Source organism: Homo sapiens, chromosome 7 (genome assembly GCF_000001405.40).
Source record: "Homo sapiens chromosome 7, GRCh38.p14 Primary Assembly".
Lineage (NCBI taxonomy): Eukaryota > Metazoa > Chordata > Mammalia > Primates > Hominidae > Homo > Homo sapiens.
Genome location: NC_000007.14, coordinates 130,923,764 through 130,950,013, shown reverse-complemented (window position 1 = coordinate 130,950,013; position 26,250 = coordinate 130,923,764). Strand labels below are relative to the sequence as shown.

At 40.7% G+C, this 26,250-nt stretch overlaps 1 long non-coding RNA gene across 10 annotated transcripts in view; it reads left to right on the top strand.

The window, feature by feature from the left end:
* The window catches only part of LINC-PINT (long intergenic non-protein coding RNA, p53 induced transcript), a 232,364-nt gene that overhangs the window by 159,912 nt on the left and 46,202 nt on the right, over positions 1-26,250 (top strand). For 4 of the 10 annotated variants that reach the window (NR_015431.2, NR_109852.1, NR_109851.1 and 1 more), the window contains one exon: positions 4,179-5,854. This is a non-coding gene — a long non-coding RNA (long intergenic non-protein coding RNA, p53 induced transcript). Of the gene's footprint in view, positions 1-4,178; positions 5,855-8,155; positions 8,255-26,250 lie in introns of those variants that run through there. The other 6 variants (NR_109853.1, NR_024153.2, NR_170176.1 and 3 more) reach the window with 4 other exon arrangements.

Genomic DNA, 26,250 nt, shown 5'->3' with positions numbered 1-26,250 from the left:
TCAATTTCCTCATCAGTAAGATTCTACTTTATAGGATTGTAAGGAAGATTAAATTATGCATAGAAAGTTTTAAAGCCCTATCTGACCTATAATGGTGGTCAATAAAGCTTGCTGTGATAACAGTGATTACTATTATTATTAAAAATATCACTACCTTCGGGTTGCCATCCTCAACCAATCTAGCTAGAACAGATTAGAGCCCCCTCTTATGTGTACTAATAGCATTGTATGCCTCCTTTACATTGTAATTGCCAGTTTGCTACAGGAAGGATGATGAAATATTGTTCATCATCTAGCACCTAGCCCAGTGCCTGGCAGAGTTATACAAGATGTACTCAAGTATTTTTTGAACAAAATTAATGAATAAAATGACTTGTAGAAAGAGCCTTCCAATTACACTTGCTTTCTTACCTTTAAATAGCCACCTCTTTAAAAAAAATAAAACACGGCCAAGCATGGTGGCTCATGCCTGTAATCCCAGCAGTTTGGAAGGCCAAGGTGGGCGGATCACCTGAAGTCAGGAGTTCGAGACCAGCCTGGCTAACATGGTGAAACCCTGTCTCTACTAAAAATACAAAAATTAGCTGGGCATGGTGGCGTGTGCCTGTAATCCCAGCTACTCAGGAGGCTGAGGCAGGAGAATTGCTTGAACCGAGGGGACAGAGGTTGCAGTGAGCCGAGATTGCACCATTGCACTCCAGCCTGGTCAATAAGAGCGAAACTCCATCTCAAAATTAATAAATATATTAAATAAAACACAACAAACAAAATAGAACTCTTCTCCAGGGGCTTGTCTTTAAATCTGGCATTGCTCAGTGACCTTGGGGAAGCCTCTTTAGACATCTGAGTCCTGGAACAGTTCTATCTGAGAGCTTCTGTCCAGCTCTAGAATTCTTTAAATCTGTGGTAATAGCACAAAATGGGTATCGAGTACATTTTAAGGACACTCAGAGTTTCCCTTATGCTTATGTTTTTTCCTGTTGATGAGAAAATGTCATCATGTTGCTTGGATTTGTAGGTTCTTTCCTAGTTGTGGGGAATTTTTCCAAGCTGGCTATTATGAGAGGGTCTCAAAAAAAAACCACAAAGAAGTTTGGTATATTATGTTCAAATTACACACAGTATCCCTTCTTATTTTCACTTTTGATCTGGATTTTCACTTCTGAGCTGACTTCTATAATTTATATTTAAAGAATTTAGTCTCAGAAATAAGGTCATTTGATGCTTGCATCATTGACACTCCTAAACCTTTCTTGCATTCCAAATCGGAAACTTATTCAGGACTTCTAATTCTGATGGTTTCTTTCTTTCTTTCATATATTTATAGATGAAATATATATATATATATATACACAGATAAGACTATATCTATATGTAAATACAGATACTTAAAATATATATGTATATATTTTAATCGTGGTAAAATATGTAACAGAAAAATTACCATCTTAACCATGTTTAAGTACACAGGTCATTGGCATTAAATACATTCATGTTGTTGTGCACCCATCACCATCATCCATCTCTGGAATCTTTTCATTTTGCAAAACAGAAACTCTGTCCTCATTAAACAACAACTCCCCATTCCCTCCTCCCCCCAGCTCCCCTGAAAACCATCATTGTACTTTCTGTTTCTTTGAATTTGACTATTCTAGGTACCTCAAATAAGTGAAACCCTACAGTATTTGTCCTTTTGTGACTGGCTTATTTCACTTAGCACAATGTCCTCAAGGTTCGTCTAATGTTGTAGGATTACAACAACATTGTAGCATTGACATGATTTCTTTGCTTTTTAAGGCTGAATAATATTCCGCCATGTAGATATGCCACATTTTATATATCCATGTGATGGACACGGGTTGATGGACACAGGTTGCTCTCATGTTTTGGCTGTTGTGAATAATGCTGTTAGGGACGTGGGTGTACAAATACCTGTTTTAGTTCCTGCTTTCAGTTCCTTTGGATCAAATAAGTTATTGATCCTTCTCTATTGACGCTTCTGTTTTCATGGACTCTTGCCTTACTCTTTTGATCATTTACTGTTCCTCCCCCCATCGACCTTTGGGCCATTTTTCTGGTAATGTCCCTACTATCAAGGTTCTCATACTTCAGTTGGACCTCACAGAACTGCTGCCTGGAGAAAACAGTTTGACAGCTAAAAAAAAAAATATGATTCATTATCACCTCCTACACACACACCAATTCCTACTGTTTTCTGAAGGTATACCAGTGGTTCCTAAATTAAAAAAAATCTCTTGGTCATAGGGCAAATTTTTGTAGCTATCGATACTCTGTATTTTGAAATTTAACTGTTGATAATAGTAGCTTCTTGATGTATTAGTCCTCTAATTGTGAAACTGTTATCTGTTTCTTATTATGAAAACAATATATGACAATCACAGAAAATTTGTAAGGTGTAGAAAAGTATTACACACAATGGCACTACCTAAAAGCAACAACTATTAACATTCTGATGCATAGGCTTCCAGTCTCTTTCATGTAAATTTTTACATAGTAAAGATCACATTGTTTTGCACCTTCTTCTTTGCATTTAATAATAAATATAAGAATTTCTGGCTGGGTGTGGTAGTTCATACCTGAGTAGCTGGGAGATTGAGATGGGAGGATAGTCTGAGCCCAGGAGTTCGAGGTTACAGTGAGCTATGATTGTACCATTGCACTCCCCCTGAAGACCCCATCTCAAAAAAAAAAAAAATTTCTTGTTCAAAAGTATTTGCAAATATTTTCATGATTTTATAAAGCTGAGAAATATTTAGAGGGTGGTAATTAGCATAAATAGAATTTTTCCAGTTATAAAAACAATATATTACAGAAAATGCCAACCATCTCAAGATTATAAAGAAGTAATAAAAAATCTAATGTCTCCGTCTGCCCTTTTTAAGCTTTTTTAATGTATCCTAATCCAGTCTGGAGACCAGCTTGTCCCTCCCTTCTTCTTCACTTTCTTTCTTACCTGGCAACATTAGTATCATGTTTATGTATGATTTTATATTCAGCATTTGCACCCAATATTATATTTTGTCATTTCCAGTATCATGAAGCATTCTTCAAAAATCATGATTTAAGCGTACGAATTTTTACTGTGATCTGTTTAGTCACATGCTCCATTCCATCTTTGGATGTTTAAGTTGTTCCCGATTTTATGCTTTTGCTAAGTATGTCCTTGCCATAGTTATCTTCCTATGTATCTACGATTATTTCCTTAGGAGATATTTATAAACATCTTAGGAGTCAAAACAGTTTTAAGGCTGAAAAAATACATATATTGCTAATTTCCTCAAATGGTTGTCTCACCTCACTTCATGAGCTTTCCTTTTTTTGTTGTCCATCTTTGTGATCGGTGAAATGAATTTCGGTGTTTGCTCATGAAATCGAGCATTTTTTTTCATATTAATTGGCCTTTTATATTTTTGTGTGAATTGTCTGTTATTACATTTTACCTTTTACATTCAAATACTATACAGAATATTATCCTGTTACAGCTATTTTATTTTTTGCTTACCTTTTTATTTATTTAGAGACAAGGCCTCCCTCTGTCACCCGGGCTGGAATGCAATGATGCAACCATAGCTCACTGCAGCCTGGAACTCCTGGGCTCAAGTGATCCTCCAACCCTGGCCTCTGCTAGGACCACACATATGTGCCACCATGTCTTGCTAGTTTTTAAATTTTTTTGTAGGAACAGGATCTCACTACATTGCCCAGGCTGGTCTCCAAGCCTTGAGCAATCCTCCTGCCTCAGCCTCCCAGAGTGGTGGGATTACAGGTGTGAGCCAACACACCTGGCCTTTTTTTGCTTACCTTTCAATTCTGTTTGCTGTTTTTTGACATATAGGGGTTTTAAATTTTGTTGCAGTTGGATTACATTGCCTTTTGTTACTTTTTTCATTGCTTCTATAAAGCTAAATCTTCTTTTCCCATTCCAAATTCAGAAATAATTTTCTACTAATTTAGTTTTCTTCCTTTTTTTTTTCCTTTTATATTTAGCTCTTTAATCTCCACAGAATTAATTCTGGTGAATCTTATGAAGTAGGAGTTAATTTTACTTTTTCTAGAATATTATCTGGTTCTTGTGTTTATTCAGAATCCCAGTATAGCTGTGACATGAACCAAAACAAGTGATTTTTCTTATTTTAGTGCTTTGATTTTCCCATTAGGAAAAATGAGGAAGCTGTGAGTACCAGTGGAAGGAACGAGCCAGGAAGAGGGACTGGAACCATCTCAGAAGCCATGCCCCTCAGGCTGGAACTTGCCCTGTCTCCTCGCAGATGAGGTAGGAGGCTCAGCACGGGCTGGTGGGAGCAGCCCACAGCAGCAGTGAGGGTCAGTGGGCCTGTGAGTTAAGAAGAAGGTGGCACAGAGCGAGGGTCTCTGGATCCTGACTGTTTGACTTTTCCATGATTAGGATAAGTAGCCAGGGCTTGGCTAGTTGGAGAGTTACTCGAACCTCAGGTGACAGTTGTAAGGCAGCACATAGTGAAAAAGAGTCCTAGCCTGGGAAAGTCCAAAACCTTAGGTCTGGTTTCAGTTCACTCACCTATCTCTGTGACATAGCAAAGTCTGTTAATTTCTCTAATTTTCTGATTAGTAGTATAGTTGCAGGAATGAAATAAAAATGGTCCTGATTACTCAGAGATTCATTTACTGATTACTCTTTTTGTGACCTGAATAAAGAGTACAACATCTCTCAAAAGGTAACAATATGATGTTTCAGGAAATTAGAGAAGTTAAGAGACTTTGCTGTATTTACTATACAGATAGTTGACTGACAGCTGAGCCCGGACCCAAGATTCATTTATAAAATGAAGGAGTTGAGAAGTACATACTCTGAGGTTTATCCTAAATAAACTGAAGTCTAGGCAAGTGGCTGAGCTAGGTTTGCCATGAATCAATCTGCTGAGTATATTTCTTGGTAACTAGTTCATCTTTCCTTAATTCAGTCAACAAATATGATATCAAGTTTAGTAAGATGATGACAGTTGTCATGTAATACTCCATCTGGAAGATTGTATGCTTCTCAGCTTCCCTAACTTTTCTTAATCTACCTTAAGCTTCCTTTCTGAAAGGTTTCTGTCTTTCCTAACAGTCTCTTCTTTCCGCCAGCTACCTCTTGTGTTTAAGAATTAAAGGAAGATGAGCTAGGAATCAAGAAATACGCAGAACTGATTCCTGTCACTGGCGCCACCCTGCCACTTGCCCAGAGCTGTGGTATAAATTTTTTTAATAGGCTGAAATAAAAATATGAATAGCATTTTGGTATTAAGCATTAAATTGATAAAGGCTATGAGATACACCTGCTCTCAACCATGTTAATTTTTTATTATTGGTATTAATAAATTATTACTTACTAACATATTAACAAGAATTGCATTGAGAAACAAAGCATCCACAGGCCAAATCTTCTGAATTTCAAATGTTTATATTAATGCGTTGTATTCTAGAAAAGTAGAATTGTCTTAAGTAGCTTTGTAATATAAAGTCATCTATCAGCCCATTACACCTATTAGAATGTTTTAACCTTTATTTCCCACTTTTTTGTTTCTAGACTGAGTGTACTTGGTCTGGTATTTGTGGCATAACTTACGGAACACATAAGAATGATACAGATACTATTTAATGATGACCTAATACAAGCTTAGATAGCTAAGGTGAAAGCTTCTATGGCCTTAACATTTTCCTCTTGAAGAATGTATTTTCTGTAATAAAATACAGTGGCTACTTGAAATCTATAAACTTATGTGAGGTCTGGATAAATCTGAGCAACTTTCTTCTTTGTGCTCCAGGAACCTACGCACTATATATATAAATAAAGCTTAAGTAAACATCACTGCAATCTGTGTTTTGTTTGATTATATTACGTATTGCCTGATCTTTAAATAATGATGAAAAATAGCCTTTAACATAAACCATGAATGGATATGCACTTGAGGGAAACAGTTTCTTGGATAATTAAACTTTAATTTCTCACCGTGGATTCCTTGGATCTTGTAATATTTTTTAAAACAGTCCTGGGGATTTATTTTTAAGGCGTCCAAATGAATTATTAGTTCTCAAAAGCCATAGTATATTCATGGGTCGATATATCCTCAAAACACTATTTTTAAACTGCTTAGTTTATTTTTCTTAGCGTGCTCATCTGCTGCATAATTTTCTTTGCTATGTATGGGTCACATGCTTCCTCCCGTCCATAACTCACGCACTTAAAATTCTCACTTCCTGATTGAGCCATCAGATTACGTAAAATGTAAATCAGCCTGAATACCTAGGAGCAGGAATTTTAAGGGAGAAAATGCCGTTTTCTTTTTCTGTGTCATTATTAACCCTTAAATATCAGAGTGAGTGTCTGCTCACCTATTTGTATTTGGAAACGAGATACTGTTAGGGGTTTTTCTTGGCCCTTCCCTTTCAGATTGAATCAGACTTTGCTGCTTTCCTTATACAAAATAATGTACCAACTAGATAGACGGTGGGAGTGGTATCGTTGCAGGAATGAAACCAAAAGGGTTCCGATGATTGAGAGAGATTCATTTATTTTTTAACTCTTCTCATGATCTGAATGAAGAGTACAGCATCTATCAAAAGGTAACAACCTAATATTTCAGAATTGCAAGTGGCCATTTAGCCTTTCTGCTGCCTGATATAAATGAAAGTAATTCCTAGCAGGCAGGATGACACTTGTTTTATCACGAATCTGACAATCCAGCACATTTTCTCAAGCAATTTTGAAGTTGTCGTAGTAACAGCATGGCATTTGGAGGGTCTTTTTAGTAGTTCTTTAGCTAGAGTTAATTAATTGTATTAACTCTGGATGTTTTTCTTTTTACTCCTCTTTGACAAACAAGGGCTATAATTGCTCAAATATGTATTTTGTGTTCTATATTTTTTGGTGACTATAGTTTAAGGACGTGATGTTTTTAAGTGGTTTCAGTAAAAGGTTATCAGTTGATTTCAGACACATTAAACTTGGGTTTTTAATTTCTCTGTAAAATTCCACTATCATTGTAGGACCAGGATTTAGTTTTATTTAAGAAGTGAATCTGGGGAGATATTTGCACAAATTGAATTGTGGCTTGCTTCCAGTGGTTGCAACTATCCGTTGCTTTGATTTTGGTGTATTTAGAAAAAGAACTGGGGAATGCAGAAAGGGAAATGTGTCAGGCTTACAGGAGAAAATTGTTTCTTTAGAAATGCAACAGGCAGGCACACCACCAAAAGCATGTTCCATAAAAGAAAACAAATAAATTTGATTTTGTGAAACTTAAGAATGCAGTGCTCTTTGAAACTCTAAAATATACTTAAATAAATTCTCCCCTAGGAAGATTTGTGGGAACTTTTTATTGGTGGAAAGTAGGTTGGAACTTCTAGTATTAATAGTAAAACTCTGTGGCAGAAATTCTTGCCAATATGGCGGTTGGTGAGAAAGGAATCCCGTTTCTTGGGCAGGGAGAGGGTCAGAAGAAAGAATTGTCTGTACTCAGTCTGGATGCCGGGACTTAAAAAGTATCAGATATACAATGCTTTTGTTTTCTTGTATAAGTGAACAGAGAGATGTGACACTTCTAAAAGGTCTTGTGAGTTTTGTGGGTTTAATGCTAATGCCACTATCCTTACTGTTCTGTGAGTATTTGTTCAGCCACGGGTGATTCAAGAGAGTTGGGGTATCAGCATGTGCAGCCAACAGCAGTCCAGGTGCTAATGCACCACCGGTGATGTCAGGAGTTACGAGACAGCGGTTTCCAAACACTGCAGTAAACAAGGTCAAAGTGTCCCGTTTCGCTGGAAGAAGTTTTGTTTTTATGAGCTGGACAGTACATGGATGAAGTAATTTTTCAAAACAAACTTTAAATTTATACATGTGTTTTTTTTCTTCTTCTCTTTGGATTAAAATAAATTGGCCCGTTGAGATTAAATAATGGTTATGTTTTTAAGCAGAATTATATTTCATATGTTTTTCCAGTCTTTTATTGATTTTCTGTTTTTCACAGAAGAAATGAAAATAACTTCTGATGTAGGGTTTCTTAAATGCAGTTTGAGAGAGCAAGATAGGAACCAGTACTTTCAAAATATGGCAAGTGCAAGTCACAATCCCTAGTAAGATATTCCTTCTCATTTTGTGCCTTTGACTCTTATTTAGACAGACGTTTAAGTACGAGAAAGCTAATGGCGCAGATTCTGCTGACTGTGTGGCTCTCGTCTTAATGCGTTTTCCAACCTTGAACCTGAGAATGCCAGAGGATTGAGTCTCTGGACGTTCATCTGAGCAGATATCTGCTGGCCGCCTGGTTCCTGAGCTAACAAGTGGGTGTCCCGGGCTTGTGTGTGTAGTCACAACAGTGGAGGTGCCACGTGGCACCCAGAGGTCGACTGGGGCTACCGCGGGGCTTCCCGATCCTCACAAGTGTGTCTTCAGTGTCTGACATGAACTGGGAACTTGGGGCATCTTTAGAAGCACAGACATTTGGAGTTCCACGGCAAACCTGGATGTAAGCACTCACACAGCTTTTAAAGTGAAAGCAGGGACCTTGAGGAAGGAATCGCCGTCATCTCATTGCCGACCTGCTTACTGTGCTGGGAAACAAAGTAAGTTCTGTTTGTTTCTTTGTTAGTCTCTCCTGCGTGTTTTTTCTTGCTAATGTTATTAGACACTCAATATCCGGCAAATGCCAAGTTTTTTCCCCTTCATTGGGAAGTAGGATATAGTTTATTCAATAGCTGATTGCTTCTTTTATCTTTTCCCTCTTCCCATATCTAGTGTGCCGGCTTGCTGTTTAGAGATAGGAAGAGATTGAAATTTATTATCAAGGAGAAAACAAAAAGTGTTTTGTTTTGTTTCTAAATGGTCCAAGAACTTTGCCATTAGGTAAATGACTATGACACAGACAAGGCGTTTTGCATGGTATGACCAGGAGCACCTCTAGCAAAACAGCCCCAGTTCGCCGCCCTGATTTCCATTTGGAAGCAGGCACAGTGGGTTTCCCCAGGACCGATGTTAACGCAGAGGGTCCTTGTGCAGGAATTGTGCAGAAACTAGGTGGGAAGGTGTCACAGACAAGAGGCTGCAATTTAAAAACGCATCAGGAAATGGAAAAGAGCTGCGAGAATATCAATTATTTAATGATGTTGATAAAAACAAATTTAATATAAAAATGAGATACAATGTATAGAGACCTAACCCTGTCAACAGCAACTAAACTTTACTTTCATGTTAGAAAGTTTTGTGCCATGTAGATTTATGGAAAATGTGCTTAATTGCCTCTAGAAAATAATGAAGAGGCTTCGTCACCTCCATAGAAGATCCTGTGACACTAGCCTAATTCTGACACATGGCTCCTGTTTTCCATTTTGTTTGTTTTTTTATGCTGATCCTCTCTCCAGAGATGTGATGTGGATTGATTAACTTGTAATATAAAGTTCTATGGTTTCTGAAAATGCAGAGCAAATAGAGATGAAGAGTGGTTTGTGATTTGTTATTAAATGATCTTCCCTTCTACATTTAGGACTGATTTTTACTGTAGAATTTTTTTTTTTTTTTTTTTTTTTTTTTTTTGTCAACTTGAACAGCAATACCTTGAAGGTAAAAGGTGGGAGCACGACTGGAGTGTGGAACTGGAAAGCAGAAACCAGGGGTGTTACTTCTATGTCTAGTATGGAATGTTGTGAATTTAAGTTAGAGCTTCTGTGTCCTGGGAATTCATATTTTATCTCAAAGTGGTGCTGATAGGACTGGAGGTAGCTGTATTTCATTTGAAACATTCCAGCCTCTTTATAGGAATATCTGTGAATTTTTAATTCAGCAAACATCTTTAAGTGTGTCATTTATGTATAGCGTTGTAGTCAGAGCTGTAATTGTTTCACCATTAAATTTACGGAAATTCAGTTTGTAAGTGAAAAATTAAGAACAGTTTGAAAGAAGGGCGAATGAGCAGAGCATTGCCATCTAAACAGTCTTGTTAAAGATAGTGCCAAGTGAGCAGGACTGTCCCTTCTAAGCTGCCCCTCCTAATTAAAGGGAAAGGTGGCTGCCATCTGTCTTCTTTCATTCAAGGCAGTAGGGGGTCTAGGGTGGAAGGAAGCAACCCCCACTTTATTTTTCTCCCACTCTTTTTTATAGTCAGCTTTCTCCCTAGTCAGTGACCCAGAAGGTCATTGATGATCTGTCTATCTCAGAATGAATAGTAGCATAAGCACGCTTGGCACTTGCAAAAAAAAGAAAGTTTATAACATGCACTGATCCATTTAAAGTTCTGCTTGAATTATGTCTGAGAGTATTGTAATCTCTGTATTGGTGTCTCTGCCCTGTTTGTTACCAAGGGCACTACTGGCAGGAAAAGTGGGGAGTTTTACTTTTATTGATTTTGCTTTTTCATGAAAAAATGTTTACACTCCACTGGGCATAATCAGAAGATGGCAGCACATGGCTATGTACAGGAGATGTGGGGATGTACAGGAATATTGTTCTTATCAAAATCAAGGACACCTATTAATGATGATACATATATGTCATCTCAGGGGAAAGCATGAACAAGCATGGCAACAGATGTCCAAGTTACTCAGTGGCCTGCTGCAGCTTTTTGGACCAGTTATTGAAATAATTCACATTGTTTAGCTTTTGTTAAGCAATAAGGCTTTTAGCCTTTTTCTTGTAAGAATACGTTGCAGGAGAGTTTAGTTTGGGGTCATGTCTTCATTGCTTTGGAAATGTAGAATAGTCCTCCAACAAAATGACTGCATTTGCTTGCCTTCGTTTCCACCTCTGTAAATAGAAGAAATATCTGCTGTTTTTATAAATATATAAGAGAATATGAAATATTTTCCATCTTTCATAAGAACTGTGTTATAACTGAAAAATTCTCAAATCTTCAGTTATGTTTATTTTCAATTTTTACACACTTAAGCAAGGTGTTAACAGTCTTCTAAAGAGATTCAGTTGTTACAAGCCTTGTTTAGTTCCCAAGTAGCAGGTATGGACTTCTCAGAACATACTGGTTTTTAGAACTCTCTTTGTGACACAGAAGTGTGGTATTTCTTAAACCCATAACAATATATTTGGAGAGCTCAAATGTGAAAGTCATGTCTGTAATTTTATTTAGAGCTTTTTTTTTTTTTTTTTTTTCCAAATTTGTCACCAACTTGCAACGAGCTTTCTTGGAAACATAGACGTGTTTATGTTGTTGAGTCTTGAGATGAACATGTGTGGGCTTCTGACGACACTGATGCCCAGTTTGTATGATTGGATGATACCTGAAAAGTGGGTCACTTCCTAGTCAGTGAAGGGTACACAGGGCTGAATAGGCAGGGCTTTTTGGCTTTTTCCGTGCTTTTGTTTTTGTTTTTGGTGTGTGTGTGTACTAATTTTAGATACTCAGCTAGGTACTTGACTGGCTATCCTTTTTAGCATGTGATTTAATTTGGTTTTACCCATCAGTATTTATTTCAAGGGGACTAAATAAACACATTAAATGAAGCACTTAAGAACTTTCTATCTTCTTTTGACTATCCACAGCGGTGGGAAATCTCTGTCCTTTGAGGGTAGGAGGGAGCCAATAGTTAGGTCTCATGAATATGGTAGGTGATCAAACCACTGATTCAAGTCATTGTTTCATGTTATAAACATGGACTGAGCCAGCTACTACATTTCAGTAGAAGGTACTGTAGATTCAAAAGTGAACATGGGTCTGGCATTTCAGAAAGACACAGGTTAGTGAGATAAATGACTATAAAAAGAGGTAGCACTGTAGACTGATGTCCTGTAACAGAGGTACACGTGTGCTGTTAGAGCCAAGAGGGGGTCAAAATAAAAAGACAGGGCACGGTGGCTCATACCTGTGATCCCAGCACTTTAGGAGGCTGAGGTGGGAGGATCACTTGAGGCCAGGAGTTCAAGACCAGCCTGGGCAACATAGATCCCCATCTCTACAAAAAAATAAAATAAAATAAAAAAATAAGCCACACATGGTGGCATGCATCTATAGTCCTAGCTACTTGGGAGGCTGAGGCAGGAGGATCCCTTGAGCCCTGGAGTTGAAGGCTATAGTGAGCTATGATCACACCACTGCACTCTAGCCTGAGCGACAGAACAAGATCCCATCTCTGAAAAAATGGATGAGTGAATTAAATTTCAAAATAGAGATTTAATGGAAAAATGAGAATTGTTGTGTACATGATTTATGAAGTGGCTTACATAATATAATTTTGGACATGAAAGCCCTGAAAAATAGCTTCTTATTTTAAGGATGAACAGACTGGGATTTATTTCTGAAATTCTATAATTCTCAGTCAGTTGTAAGGCTTTCATTATATAATAGACTTTTTTTTTTAACCAACGGAAGTTGGACCTCTTCAAAATGTGAGATCCAAAAAGGTTTTGGATATTGTTTGAATAACTCTCTTCTCCAAAGGAGACTGTTTTTGAAAAATGATTCTTTCTGACATGTTAAAATTGAATATTTTTGACACGCCAAATGCACCAAAGTATTATATGTCATGTTTATTGCCGAGAGTAGCTATATAGCTTGTGGGAGACAGTTAACGTGAAGCTTTCTTGCATCTGGAAGTATGGGGAGAGAGAAGGCTTCTTCACACCCCCTTTCATGTTATATTCTACAGGGAAAGAATTTCTATCATGTAGACACTAGGTGACTCCCTTGTGGATAATTTCATTTAACAATGATTTCTGGGTGTTGCTCTATGCCAGGCACTGTTCTAGGAGCTGATGCGAAGGCTCAGCTGATGGGCTACAGACCTGAAGGCCTGTGCTCCTCAGTGGCACTCTGTAGGTAGATACAGAGCCACCATCTACTGGGTGCTTCTCCTGAGTGTGACAGTGTAGGCTGGGACACGATGCTACCCTTCAAGGAGCTTGAAGCTAAGGTTCTGTGCACAGATAAAATTAGAATAAATGCAGAGATGCTATAACAAGATGTCTTAGAAAAAAGAAAAACAAAGAATAAATGCAGAGAGAAAGAGAAATGTATAAAAGGTAGAGAGATAAACATACCACAAGTTCATAGAAAAGAAAGGTTGTGTGTTTATCTGTGGCTGGGATGATCAAGAAATGCTTCATGGATAAAGAGCCTTTGAGCCAGACATTGAAAGAAAGGTAATGTTGGACTTGAGGTCTTGGAGTATCCTCGTTGAAGGAAACATGAGCAAAGGCATAGGTAGGGATGGGAAATGCCGGGGTGCAGAGTGGGCAGGAATCGATTTGTAGTTGCTGGGCAATGATGTGTGTAAACCACTAAGGAGAAGATCAGGTAGCAAAGGTCCTTGGAGGCCAGAACCCAGAGGGCCTTGAATGGCACGTGACTAAATGATTTAAACTTAAGTTACTGGGGAGCAATGGAAGAATTTGAGTGGCTAGAGTCCCCATCCTGAAGAGGCCTTGCGGGGATCAGCATGTGGGTGCCTCTGGACTGTGAAATAGCCAGAGCTGGGAAGCCTTTTAGAGCTGCTGTTGTGGTCCAGGAGGGAGGTGGGGAGGGCCTGGGTGAGGGGAAGGCCACTAGATGGAGAAATTGAATTTATGAGATGGGATTTAGGAACTGCCTAGATAATAGGGGTTGGCCGATGGGAAGCAAAAATGCCCCCAGAGCTTTGAACCCAGGTGCCATTCATTATTTCTATGCCATCTGCCAGGCATTGCATAGCTATTATCTCATTTAATCTCCTCCTAATCTTGTGGGTTGGTATTTTCATCCTTATATCAGAGACGAGAAAACTAAGGGTCAGAGAAAATTAGCAATTGGTCTAAAATTGTACAGTTGTAACAGGATCTAGAACAGGGACTTCAGTACAGGCCTCCCTGACCCCCAAGCCTGTGTTCTTTCTACTGTACTAGGCTTGGAAGACAGCGTACGTGAGAGCAAAGACAAGCTCTGTCCACTCTGTGCATATTCAGTGTAGGTGCTGGTGAGATTCCCGCCTTCAGGTGTCCAGCAAGTGGTTGGAGACATGGAGCCGAATCTCAAGGACATTGGGAGGATTGAAGGTCAAGGCTTAAGAACCATCTGCATCCTCATTTATTTATTCAGCAGCTATTTGTTGTGTCTTCGTGGACCAGCTTGGCAGCATGAATGCTGTGACCAACAAGAGAGGTGTGTCCTTCACGGAGCTGCCAGGCTGGGAGGGAGCCCTGATGGCGTGGCTTGAGTGTAAGGCAGGAGGTGTGCAGATTGGCTGTGGGAACTTACTGGCCTAACCTTGTCAGGTCAGGGAAGCTCTCTAGAGGCAGTTGTGGTTCTCAACATGAGACTCAAATGATGAGGACCCAGTTAAAAAGTGGGAAAACAGCATACCCCAGGCCGTGGAAGTAGCGCGTACTCAGGCAGAGCAAGATAAGAACACAGTGTCTTTAAACCAAAAACCACGTGTGGCTGGAATGGAGGGAAGAGCAAGGAGATAAGACAGGTGAGCAGGAACCAGAACAAGAAATGCCCTGGAAGCTGTGAGACGCTTGGAATTCACCTGTGAAGAAAAGAGTAGCCTCATCTGAATTCCTTGCCTCGATTATGGTCTCCAATAGAAGATTAAATGGCTGTGGAGTCTAGAGGTTTTTTCCTTCGGTGTGGGCATCACCCCTTCTGAAAGGATGGTGTAATGGCTAATTGTATGTATCAGCTTGGCGAGGCCACAGTACCCAGATACTTGGTCAAGCACCAGTCTAGATGTCGCTGTGCAGGTAGTTTTTTAGATGAGGTTTAACATTTATATCAGTAGAAGGAGTGAAGCAGATTATCCTTTGTAATGTATGTAGGCCTCATATATCATCAGTTGAAGGCCTTAAGAGAAAAAGATTGAAGTCCCTAAAGAAGAAGGAACTCTGTCTCCAGTCTCCCTTCAGACTCAAGACTGCAACATCGGCCTGGCACGGTGGCTCACGCCTGTAATCCCAGCACTTTGGGAGGCTGAGATGGGTGGATCGCTTGAGATCAGGAGTTCAAGACCAGCCTGGCCAACATGGCAAAAACCTGTCTCTATTTAAAAACACAAAAATTAGTTGGGCATGGTGGCAGGCGCCTGTAGTCCCAGCTACTTGGGAGGCTGCGGCATGAGAATCACTTGAACCCAGGAGGCAGAGGTTGCAGTGAGCTGAGATCATGTAACTGCACTCTAGCCTGGGCGACAGAGTGAGACTCTGTCTCAAAAAAAAAAAAAAAAAGACTGCAACATCAACTCTTCCCTTGGTCACCAGCATGCCCTGAAGATTGTGGATTTGTCAGTCCCTGTAATTGCATGAGCCAGTTCCTTAAGGTAAATATCAGTATCTACCCCCACCCCCACCACTCTCTCTCTCAATCTCAATCTCAGTCTCTCTCTCTCTCAATCTCAATCTCCCTCTCAATCGCCCTCTCCCTCTTCCTCTTCCTCTCCCTCTCTCCCTCTTGGTTCTGTTTCTCTGGAGAACCCTGACTAATGCAGATAGGAAGATAAATAAATTTAAGTTGTTTGGCTCCAGTTGGTATTAGCAGAAAGCTGCATCAGGCTTCTCTAGGTGTTCTTGGTGTGTGCGTATATTGCTTTTTGTATAGATGAGAATAGTGAAATATAGAAGGGAAGTGATGTACCCACAGTCATGCAGACAGTTGATGGGAGAGCCAAGGAGAAAACTCAAGTTTCAAACCTCTGGTGTAGTTCAGTCGCTTTCTTGCTATTTGGCCCTCATGTTTTTATTAGCAAGGTAATAAAGTTATTGAGTTTGCCATGCGTAATTATTGGTAATGTTTATGGAATGTTCTCTGTATGTCAGGTGCTGTTTTAGTTGCCCTACAGGTGTTAGTGATTTTAATCCTTACAACTACCTAATGAGATAGGGAATAATACTATCCCATTTTACAGATTTTAAGCAATGAGTCCAGTGAGCGATGTGGTCATTGCTACACAGCTAGTGAGTGACAGAGCTGGACTGAAGACTCAGGCAGCCTGGCTGCAGAGGTTGTGCTATTGACTACTCCACCGCTTCTCAGCTTAATGCCCCGAGCACAGCTTTTCATCTCTCCCTTTGGAACCATTGTCCAGAATATTTATTATGGTAGTGTGCTCTTGGTAGGGCTTGTATTGAAAGAGAAAATGCTTATAAGTTATTTTTCAAGAGACCATCCGATAATGCTTCTTAGCTCCTTGAAAAACAGAAAACATTCCCATTACAGCAACACTGTAGACCACCTGCTGGAGTATATTTTTAGCAACTAGACTTTGCTGTCTAGCCTAGTGACACTGGTGGGCATCTGATTTGCCCAGGGTCATACAGGAGCGTGATAAAGTGGTGATATGAGTTGGCTCCTGGTTCAGCATTTTGGGGTGTGTTCTGGGGGAGAAAATAGCAAACCTCTTTGTGTGTGTCCCTTGGATCTTTGAGAGAACAATCATCATAACTCCCATTTATTAGGTCTGTTGGGTGCTAGATGCTGTTGTAAGTGCTTTATAAACATTGTCTCATGGAATCTTCTCAATAGCCCTGAAAGGCTGGCATTACCATCCCATTTTACATATAAAGTAAGCAGTGATTAGGGAGTGACATTTCCAAAGCAAGTAGCAGAACCAAGGATTAAACCTCATCTGAATGACTCCAAGCCAGTGCTCTTGGTCACTTGGCTATGTCTATACTGGGTGTCTGTACTGGACCTCTCTCTGTATATACTGGGTATCTATACTGGAGCTCACCATTCTTCCCCATAGACTATGAACTCCATAAGGGACTTTCTCCATTGATTCACCACCATACTTCAGCACCTGCCAAGTACACTACCTGACACACAGTAGGTACTTAATGCACATACAGTCATGTGTCATTTAACAATGGGGATAGGCAGTTTTGTCATCGTGTGAACATCATAGAGTGTATATACATAAACCTACATGGTATAGCCTACTACATCCCTAGGCGATATGATATGGCCCTATTGCTCCTAGGCCACAAACCTGTGTGGCGTACAGTACGACTGTACTGAATACATTGTAACACAATGGTAAGTGCTCATATATCTAAACATACCTAAACATAGAAAAAGTAAAGCCCTGCAGTGTGTTACAGTGGCTACAGTGTCACTAGGCAATAGGAATTTTCAGCTCCATGTAATCTTGCGGGCCCACCATCATGGGTGCGGTGCACCATTGACTGAAATGTTATGCTGCACATGACTGTATATTGAGCGAATAACAGACTCATTGTGTTCTCTGTGATCGCTTCCGAATGGCGAGAGGGCCAGGGCCAAAGGGCACAGACCTGTGAGTGTGTTATGGACTCATGTGGGTTTAGCCTTCACGATATATATGAATATATCATAATGTGTGTATCTAGTGTGTGAATATATATCATAACTTATCCACTTTATGGATATCATAATTTATCCATTTTAGTGATTCCAGGACATTTTGTCTATCTATGCTTTTTTTTTTTTTTTTTTTTTTTTGAAATGGAGTCTCACTCTGTCACCCAGGCTGGAGTGCAAGTGGCACAATCTTGGGTCACTGCAGCCTCTGCCTCCCCAGTTCAAGCGATTCTCCTGCCTCAGCCTCCTGAGTAGCTAGGACTACAGGCACATGCTACCACACCCGGCTAATCTTCGTATTTTTAGTAGAGATGGGGTTTCACCATGTTGCTGGTCTCAAACTCCTGACTTCAAGTGACCTGCCCGCCTCAACCTCCCAAAGTGCTGAGATTACAGGCATGAGCCACCGTGCCTGCCCTCTAGCTATGCTTTAAGGCAGGCCTATCAGCCCAGACTGGAGTCATGTAATACATGGCTCTGTCAGTAGCTCTCCTTCCCACAAATAAGTTTTGATGATCTTACACTCATCCCTGCCATTAGCATTCAGGACCAATCTTCTATAGCCTATACGCCACACTGGTCTAGGACAGCACCTAAATAATACTCATGCTATAAAAAATTCATCAAGTTATATATTTTTAAAAACATCCCTAAAATTATCTTTTTCCTTTACTGAAAAGAATTTCAGGATCCCCTCTCTCTCACTGCCTCTCTTCACACACACCTACCTTAGTTGGTCACCTATTTTGTAAACATATCTTCTTTAAAAAAAGAAAGAAATGGCAGTACATGAAAAACTGCTTCGTAAACAGAAACTATATTATTTATATTTGTAGCATTTTTTTCCCCTTGAGGTTAATTTCCTTTGCTTCCCATAACTGGAAGCCAATGATTCAGTGCCATTATATAAGCTTATTTTCCCTCTTGGAAATAGTAAATTATAAGAGGTTTGACCCAAAAATATACATCAAAATTAGGCAGTATTCGGTGTTTAGCCTCCATCTGCCTTGTCTTCTTGTCTTTAGTTGTGCAAGTAGATGCTGATGATTTCTGGCAGAGCTAAAGTAAGTAAATCATGTGAATTTATTTTTTTTCCTCATAAAACAGATGGCATGGTCTAGCTCTGGGCTTGTATGTTTCATGAAGTACATGGGTCTGAGTGCGTATTTATTTTGTGAGCCAAGGTTTATGCCTTCTTCTATAATTTTCTTTCACCGAAAATTACCTGGAGAGCTAGAAACTCCATTTGTGTCAGTGTAAGAAGCTTTAGAATCTATATCCAGACCAAGGCCATGGAACAATGTAGATTCACTCAGTAAAAACTCACTAGCGGCCTTCTTTGTACTAGTCTGTCACCTTTGCTTGGCTTTGGGAAGCTTCAAACTAGGGCAGTTTATGTTTGGGAGTGACCAGTCAAATAGCAAGACAGACATAGGCAAGGATGTAATTTTTAAAAATTTAAGTGGGGAATGGTGAAGCATGAATCAAAACAGAAGGTAGTCTTACCTTCTTGGAACTGTAAAATAAATACATTTGAAAAAGGCACCCTCTCAACCTTCTGCGAGTCAGAATTTTTGCTGCCACCCCTCATTTTGAATCTCTATTCTGCATTTTTTATTCTTTTTTTTAGGAAGGAGGAAGAAAAATTTCTCCTGAAGAATTCATTGGAAATTAAAATTAACTTGCGTATTTTGTATTCTTTGGAATGTGATGAAGACTGATTTGAAAGGGCAGTGCTGGATTTGGTCAGGCATAGGAAAGGAAGACATGCAGTCGTCCTGCCTAGCTCATCCCCGCCACGATGGAGAAGTGGGGTTGCTTTCGTTGTACTTTTTTTCATTTGTTTCTTGCCAAGCCCAGTGGCTTCTGTTATAACATGTGGCAGCTTCTCCCTTGGAGACTGATTCAGTCCAAGTTACCATAATATTTAGGACCAGCTACAGAGACGTTTCTTCCCCTAAACCCATGCCAAATCTAAATCAAACTATCTTCTTCTCCTTAGCCGTTCAAATAGCTCCAGCTCTTATATAAAAATACGAGAAATACACAGGCCTCTTTTCGTTTTATTCCTGTTCAAACAGATAAACAAACAAGGCACATCATGCCTAGGTTGCTTTGAGCTTGATCACTTCCTCCTAAAGCAGTCTTACGCTGTGTTGATTTTAAGAATTGCAACTTAGGTGTTCTAGAACATATTCTGAGAGCATAGTCATAGTCTGTGATCTCAGAATATGTTTGCTTCCTTCTAGAACATCTGAGTTCTAGAAATTGCGTACAATAAACTGCTGTCAGTGCTGCTGGAGGAAGGAAGAGTAACTCTGACATCACTGGCCTTCAACAGGTGTGGCGCTGAGCTTCTGGGCCTCAGAAGCCCTGACTTCTAGAGGCTGGGGGCCAGCGGGGCAGGGAGGTGATCTCATCATGGATGGCCACAGATCATCCACCTGCCAAACAGTTAACCCTGAACAAGTCATGTCAATTTATTTTGCTTTTAAAAAAGAAAGTCTGCAAAATAGAAAAAAAAAAAAAAAGATTCTTCATAAATACATTTGTTCTGATCTGTAAATACCCTGGTCATTTCCCCCTTGGCATTTGATACACATAGTATAGACATATTTTAGTCATCCTTGCTCAAGTAATTATATTCCATAACCAACTTTATTAGCATAAATTAACTTCCTCATATTTTTAGCAAGAGTTACTTTCCTTCATTGCTTAGCTTATTGTTTTGAAATATGAATTACTTCAGCACAGTTCATTTTTGTGGATGGCATTTCTGTCTTTTTAATTTATAATTATTTGATATATACAAAAGATGGTATGTAACATACAAGTAAACTCTAAAGCACAATTTTAAAGGTGCTCCAGTGAACCACCATCCAACTTAAGAATTGGCTCATTACAAATACTTGGAGATCTCGCTAAGTATCTTATTCCTAGCATTTTCCTGCTTTCCCACTATTCCGAAATTTGTATTTATAATTATCCTGATTTTTAAACAAACATATATTTTTATCACAGTGTAATGAGTAAATGTGTGTTGCTAAAGGTATTTTGAGACATATAAAAATAGTATCGGACTTTGCATGGTCTTTTTGGAACTTGAGATTTTCCTCCATATATTTGCAAAATTCATCCATGTTTTCAGGAATAGCTACAGTTCCTTCATATTGCCAGAATATTCTAGTGTGTGAATATATCATAATTTATCCACTATCTTATTTATTGAGGGGGGGTGGGAAACAAGGAGCTCTTTTTATAGACATGTTGAGTCTGAGATCTCTATTAGAAATCCATTGGAAATGAGCAGGCAGGTGGATGCTGTTATTCAGGAGAGATGACTGAGATGGAACTAACAGCGTGTAGATGGCATCTAAAGCATTGTCTTCCCAACTATTCTTAGAATGATGGGCCATTTAGCCCATCAACTGAGATTTCTGTGTTAACAGTTTTTTGTTTTTTGTTTTTTGTTTTTTAATTTCTTAAAGGTCTATCTGGTGTTTTTTGTTTGTTTGCTTTTTCCCAAATCTGCCTGGTCACTTTGTTCAAGTGTGACTTGTAAGGGAGTAAACAAGGAGAGTATGAGCTTCAAAGAAAATGGGGGGAAGTATTTTGCCAGCTCTCATGGAGTTTTGTGAGATCCAAAAGAAATGCTATATGTAAATTTGCTTTGTAAACTGAAAAAAGTTATGCACTCAATTATTATATTTGATGATGGCACCTTGTTGGGTTCTGGTTAATGCCTCATATTCACTGAGTGCTTACTTTATCTATATTAACACATCTCATCTTTATAACAATCTGTGAGAAGTAGGTACTGTAGATTCATATTTTACAGAGGAAAGTACAGCTTATAAATGGTAGACCCAGGATTTGAATTCATAGAGTCTGCTTCTAGAAGGTGTGTTCTTAGCTCCAGTGCTATGCTGTCATATTGATTTCCTGCCTGCCTTCTCCTTCCTTCCTTCTCCCCTCCCTCCCTCCCTTCCTTCCTTTCCTTCTTTTTTTTTTTTTTTTTTTTTTTTTTTTTTTTTTTTTTGAGACGGGGTCTCACTCTGTCACCCAGGCTGGGGTGCAGTAGCATGACAATAGCTCACTGTAGCCTTGACCTCCTGGGCTCAAGTGATCCTCCTGCCTCAACTTCCTGAGTAGCTGGGACTACAGGCACATCCCACCATGCCTGGCTAATTTTTAAATGTTTTGTAGAGATGTGGTCTCCCTATGTTACCCAGGCTAGTCTCAAACTCCTGGACTCAAGTGATCCTCCCACCTTGGCCTCCCAAAGTGCTGAGATTACAGGTGTGAGCCACCACACCTGGCCATACTGTCCTTCTTTAAATGACAGGTTTCTTCCCACTCCTTCAGCTTCAAGAGTACAAACATTTTAGGGTCACATTTCAGCATGTCCACCTTGAACCCAGCTACAAAAATCCTACCCCAGGCAGTGGGCCCCCAGCAAAGGGCTGTGTGTGCTGACCTAGTTTCACCACCGAACCCAGCCCCAGACCTCACAGGGCACTGCTCACCTGCCAGGTGCCCACTCTGTGCTTGTTGAAGATGGTGTCTTCTTGATTTCACTTATTTGCCTGAAGCCACCCAATAAGTCAGTAGTGGGCCAGAGAATAGAAACCAAGTCTCCTGCCTTTCAAGTGTCACATTTGTTTTGTGTTAATAAGCTATATACCTCCAGGGGATCTGGCAGAAATTTGAAGGTGGTTAATTTTACTGCAATAAATACTTAAGAATCCTTTTTAAAGCAAAGAAGTCAAGCCCCCGCCAGGGAAAACACAATCTGCTCTGAGGGCCTTTGACAAACTGACATGGGCACTAGGACTAGGTCATGGATCATTGGCCCTTGATTCTGTCTCCCACTGAGCATCCCAAAGGGGTTGAGACCTCTGCTGGAGCCACTAGGCTTCAGCCGGACCTGGAAATGTTCTCGCAAATGAAACTGGAATGCATGATGTCCTGGATTCAGCGGGTCACAGCTGACTGCCATCAGGAGGTGTGACGGAGAAGGTTCCATTTCTGTGACCCTGTGGTGATACAGGTCGGGACCCAGGCGAAGTAGCTCAGCCATCTGAATTGGCACCTTTCTGCTTTTCTCGCTGAGTGACGGGTGCCTTGCAGTTGGCTTCAGATGTTTGTGAATGTGCTGTGTTTCCTAAAGCCATGTCAGTCAGGAAGAAGATGCAGGTATTCAGGAGAAGGGAGAAGAAAATCTGAATTAGAAACAACGTGAGGATGGGGAGCACAGGGAGGGATGGGTTACCTTTGTCATCAGAAGAACGCCAGGCAGATTTTAGTCCCTCAGCTAATAATACTATTTGAAAAATTGATGGAGAAATTTAACTGGAAGGTTTCAGCAAGACAAAAGCTGCATCTCCAAGGCTGGACTCAGCGTGTTCACGTGGGAACTGGGTGTGAGTGTAATTGTCAGAGGGGAGGGTTGTCACAGGAGGTGCACGATGTGAAGTCACAAGGGGACGCATTATTTCCATGAGTTCTCACAGTTCCCAGGGCAGCCACAGATGGTAGTGGTTTATGTCTGCCTCTGCCTTGACAGAAGGGCAGTAGGCAGTTGTGGCAAGAAAAATGGACCAAATGAGGGCTGCACTCAGCAGGTTAAATTTGCTGTCTGTTAGTGTTCCTAGGTGAGATGCTTCAAAACTAGAATGCTCTGCTGGGACTTTTATTTCCCTTAGAAATAAAAGGCCAGGCGCGGTGGCTCATGCCTATAATCCCAGCACTTTGGGAGGCCAAGTCGGGCAGATCGCCTGAGGTCAGGAGTTCGAGACCAGCCTGGCCAACATGGCAAAACCCCATCTACTAAAAATACAAAAATTTGCTGGGTATGGTGGTGGTGGGCGCCTGTAATCCCAGCTACTTGGGAGGCTGAGGCAGGAGAATCACTTAAACCTGGGAGATGGAGGTTGCAGTGAGCTGAGATCGTGCCCCACTGTACTCCAGCCTGGGAAACAGAGTGAGACTCCATCTCCCAAAAAAAAAAAAAAAAAAGGTTCTTTGTTCACACTTTCTCTGCGCTGCTGCAAGTGACTTTGGTGCCGTTTCCTGCAGCCTGTGTCGGTGGCTGGGACTTTCTCGACAGCAAGGCAGGCCGTGCATGAGGCCTATAGGACCCAGGGCTGCCTCCCAATGCTGACGGCCCTGCGCTGTGTGAGCTTGGGTAAGCCAGTTCGGCTCACTTCACCTCAGGTTCCTTGTTCCTATGTGGACGGGTTGCTTGTTTGGAGGATTAATAATGATGGGGAATGCAAAGTGTGGTTGGTTTTGCTGGGGAAAAGAGCAGGGAAGTAGAGACCTAGGCAGGTGATGTCACCTCTCTGATGAACTCCAAGGTCTCTGTCAACACCGGTGCCTTTGTCCTGACATTGCGGGGTTTGTGGCATGATTGGAGAGACCTTGCGTGCTCTCTGGGCAGCCCTTGTTAGTGCCCCCCAACTAGCTGGGAGATCCAGAGTTTCATGAGAACCCTCCCTCCGTGACAAAATCCGCCTTCCTCGCTGTCAGGCTCAGGTTGTCCTGTGCCCCCACTGAGCCTGCTCATTATTGATTAATGAACTTGTAAAATGAGAAGTATTGTTTTACCGGAAGCTACATGTTTATGTGGTTGGTAAAAATGAGAAGAGTTGCTTGAGAACTGGTTCTCCTTTCCATGAGTATATACAAGGTTCAAATCTGGGCTTTGTGGTTATAAGACATGTTGAGTGAATAAAAATGAAGGAAATGCTGGGCATTTATCACAATTTTTTTTTTTTTTTTTTTTTGAGACAGGGTCTTACTCTGTCACCCAGGCTGGAGTACAGTGGCACGATCTCGGCTCACTGCAGTCTCCACCTCCCAGGTTCAAGTGATTCTCATGCCTCAGCCTTCCGAGTAGCCAGGATCACAGGCGTGGGTCACCGCACCCGGCTAATTTTTGTATTTTTTGTAGAGACAAGCTTTCGCCATGTTGGTCAGGCTGGTCGAACTCCTGGCCTCAAGTGATCCATCCGCCTTGGCCTCCCAAAGTGCTAGGCTTACAGGCATGAGCTGCTGCGCCTGGCCTTTCACAATTCTTAAACTGTTGACTTACAGAAACACAGACCTGTATGAACACACAGATCACTTTAGAGGTCCGTCTCAGAACTACCTGCTGTCATGAGTGATGTACAGATAAAATGTGGAAGATCTAGAAACTAGTCATTCCTAATCTCTGCCATAAGTAAACATTTTAGTTTAATGTTAAAAGGTCACTCAGGGTTATTGTGAGATTTGATGAGATCATGGCTACAAGGAACCTTTAACTGTATGAATGAAAAATCTAATGAAACTGCAAAGTCACTCCTATTTACTAAAACCAGTGTAGTGGCTGTTTCTGCCTCTTTTCTTTCCCTCCTCCCTTCCCTTTTCTTCTCTGTTGTTTCTGTCACTTTCCTCTCCCTTCTACCTTATTTTTTTCTTCCTTTCCTTCTCCTTCCTCTCTTTCTGGCATTAGCAGTTTGTTTGTTTGTTTGTTTTTGTTTATTTTGAGACCGAATCTCGCTCTGTTGCCCAGGCTGGAGTACAGTAGCCCAATCTCGGCTCACTGCAACCTCCACCTCCCGGGTTCAAGCCATTCTCCTGCCTCAGCCTCCCGAGTAGCTGGGATTACAGACGCCCGCCACCACACCTAGCTAATTTTTGTATTTTTAGTAGAGATGGGGTTTCACGATGTTGGCCAGGCTGGTCTCAAACTCCTGACCTCAGGTGATCCGCCCACCTCGGCCTCCCAAAGTGCTGGGATTACAGGTGTGAGCCCCCACACCCGGCCCTGGCATTAGCAGTTCTTACACAAGAACAGCGTAGGCATGAATCCTGCCTTCATGGCACTTACACACTAGCAGAGGAATCTGGCAGCAAATAAGCACACAAAGGCAGCTGCAGGGTATGATGTGCCGTGACGTAAAGGGACAAACACCGTGAGAGTCTAACTAAAGCCTGGCATGTGTCAATCCTATGTACCTATTCAGAAACTAGGGTTCATGACGGTGCTTCTGTTGTTACCTAGTAGAAGTAGCTTTGTAAGCACAAAGATTGTAGTTTTGTGAAGCTATCTAGTACAGAGTCACTCTGGAAGTTTAGCATTATAGAGTTTTTTCATAGAAAGGATGGATAGATACAAGTTTTTCCTAACAAGCACAAGTGGCAGTCTTTGAAAACTAATTTTTTATGTGTACATTGTAGCATTGGAAGATAACTGTGGTTGAGTGTGATAAACTGAAACTTTTTAAAAAATCTATTATTTTTTTTACAAGTTAAGTTAGAGCCAGATATGCTGATTCTCTACCATTTTCAAAAGAGGAATTGGAAAAGGGAGAGCTTGTTTATGTGGTATTCACAATAGTGTCTGCTCCTGAAGAAAATTTTTGGAAAAATCTCATGAGTGTCCTCAGACTAAAAACAGGGATCCAGTCTGTTGTTCATGCAGGACTCAGGAGGCGAGCGAGCATGTGATACCAGGAAGGGTCCCATCCCTGCCCTGCTGGGGAGCCCTCAGTGGCGAGGTGGCGAGTTCAGGCTTCACTTCAGAGCATGGATACTGCTGCATAGGTGCTGGAAGGGTGCTGCATGGGTGCTGGAAGCTGCTTGGCATAGTGCATGTCCTGTTTCCTGCCACTTGGAAAGAGGACTGTGGAAGTCAGGTCTTCCCAGTCCTCACCAGTAAAGCAAGCAACGAATGCCTTCAGTCCAGGTAATATGTCCAGGCTTTAAATTCTCTGGATCTGTCTTTGGATACCCTGGGAAAAGTCTTGTCTCTTCTTAGGCCCTTCTGACTAAAAGCAGCCAGGACTTTTAAACTGACTAATTTTTAAAGATTTCCAAATAGAGAAAATTAAAGCAAAAATTTTTGAAAGCTGAAAATGATCTTTCCAACTTTTCTCATTCAGAGTAGAACACTGGAGCATTGAAAGTTTGTTCA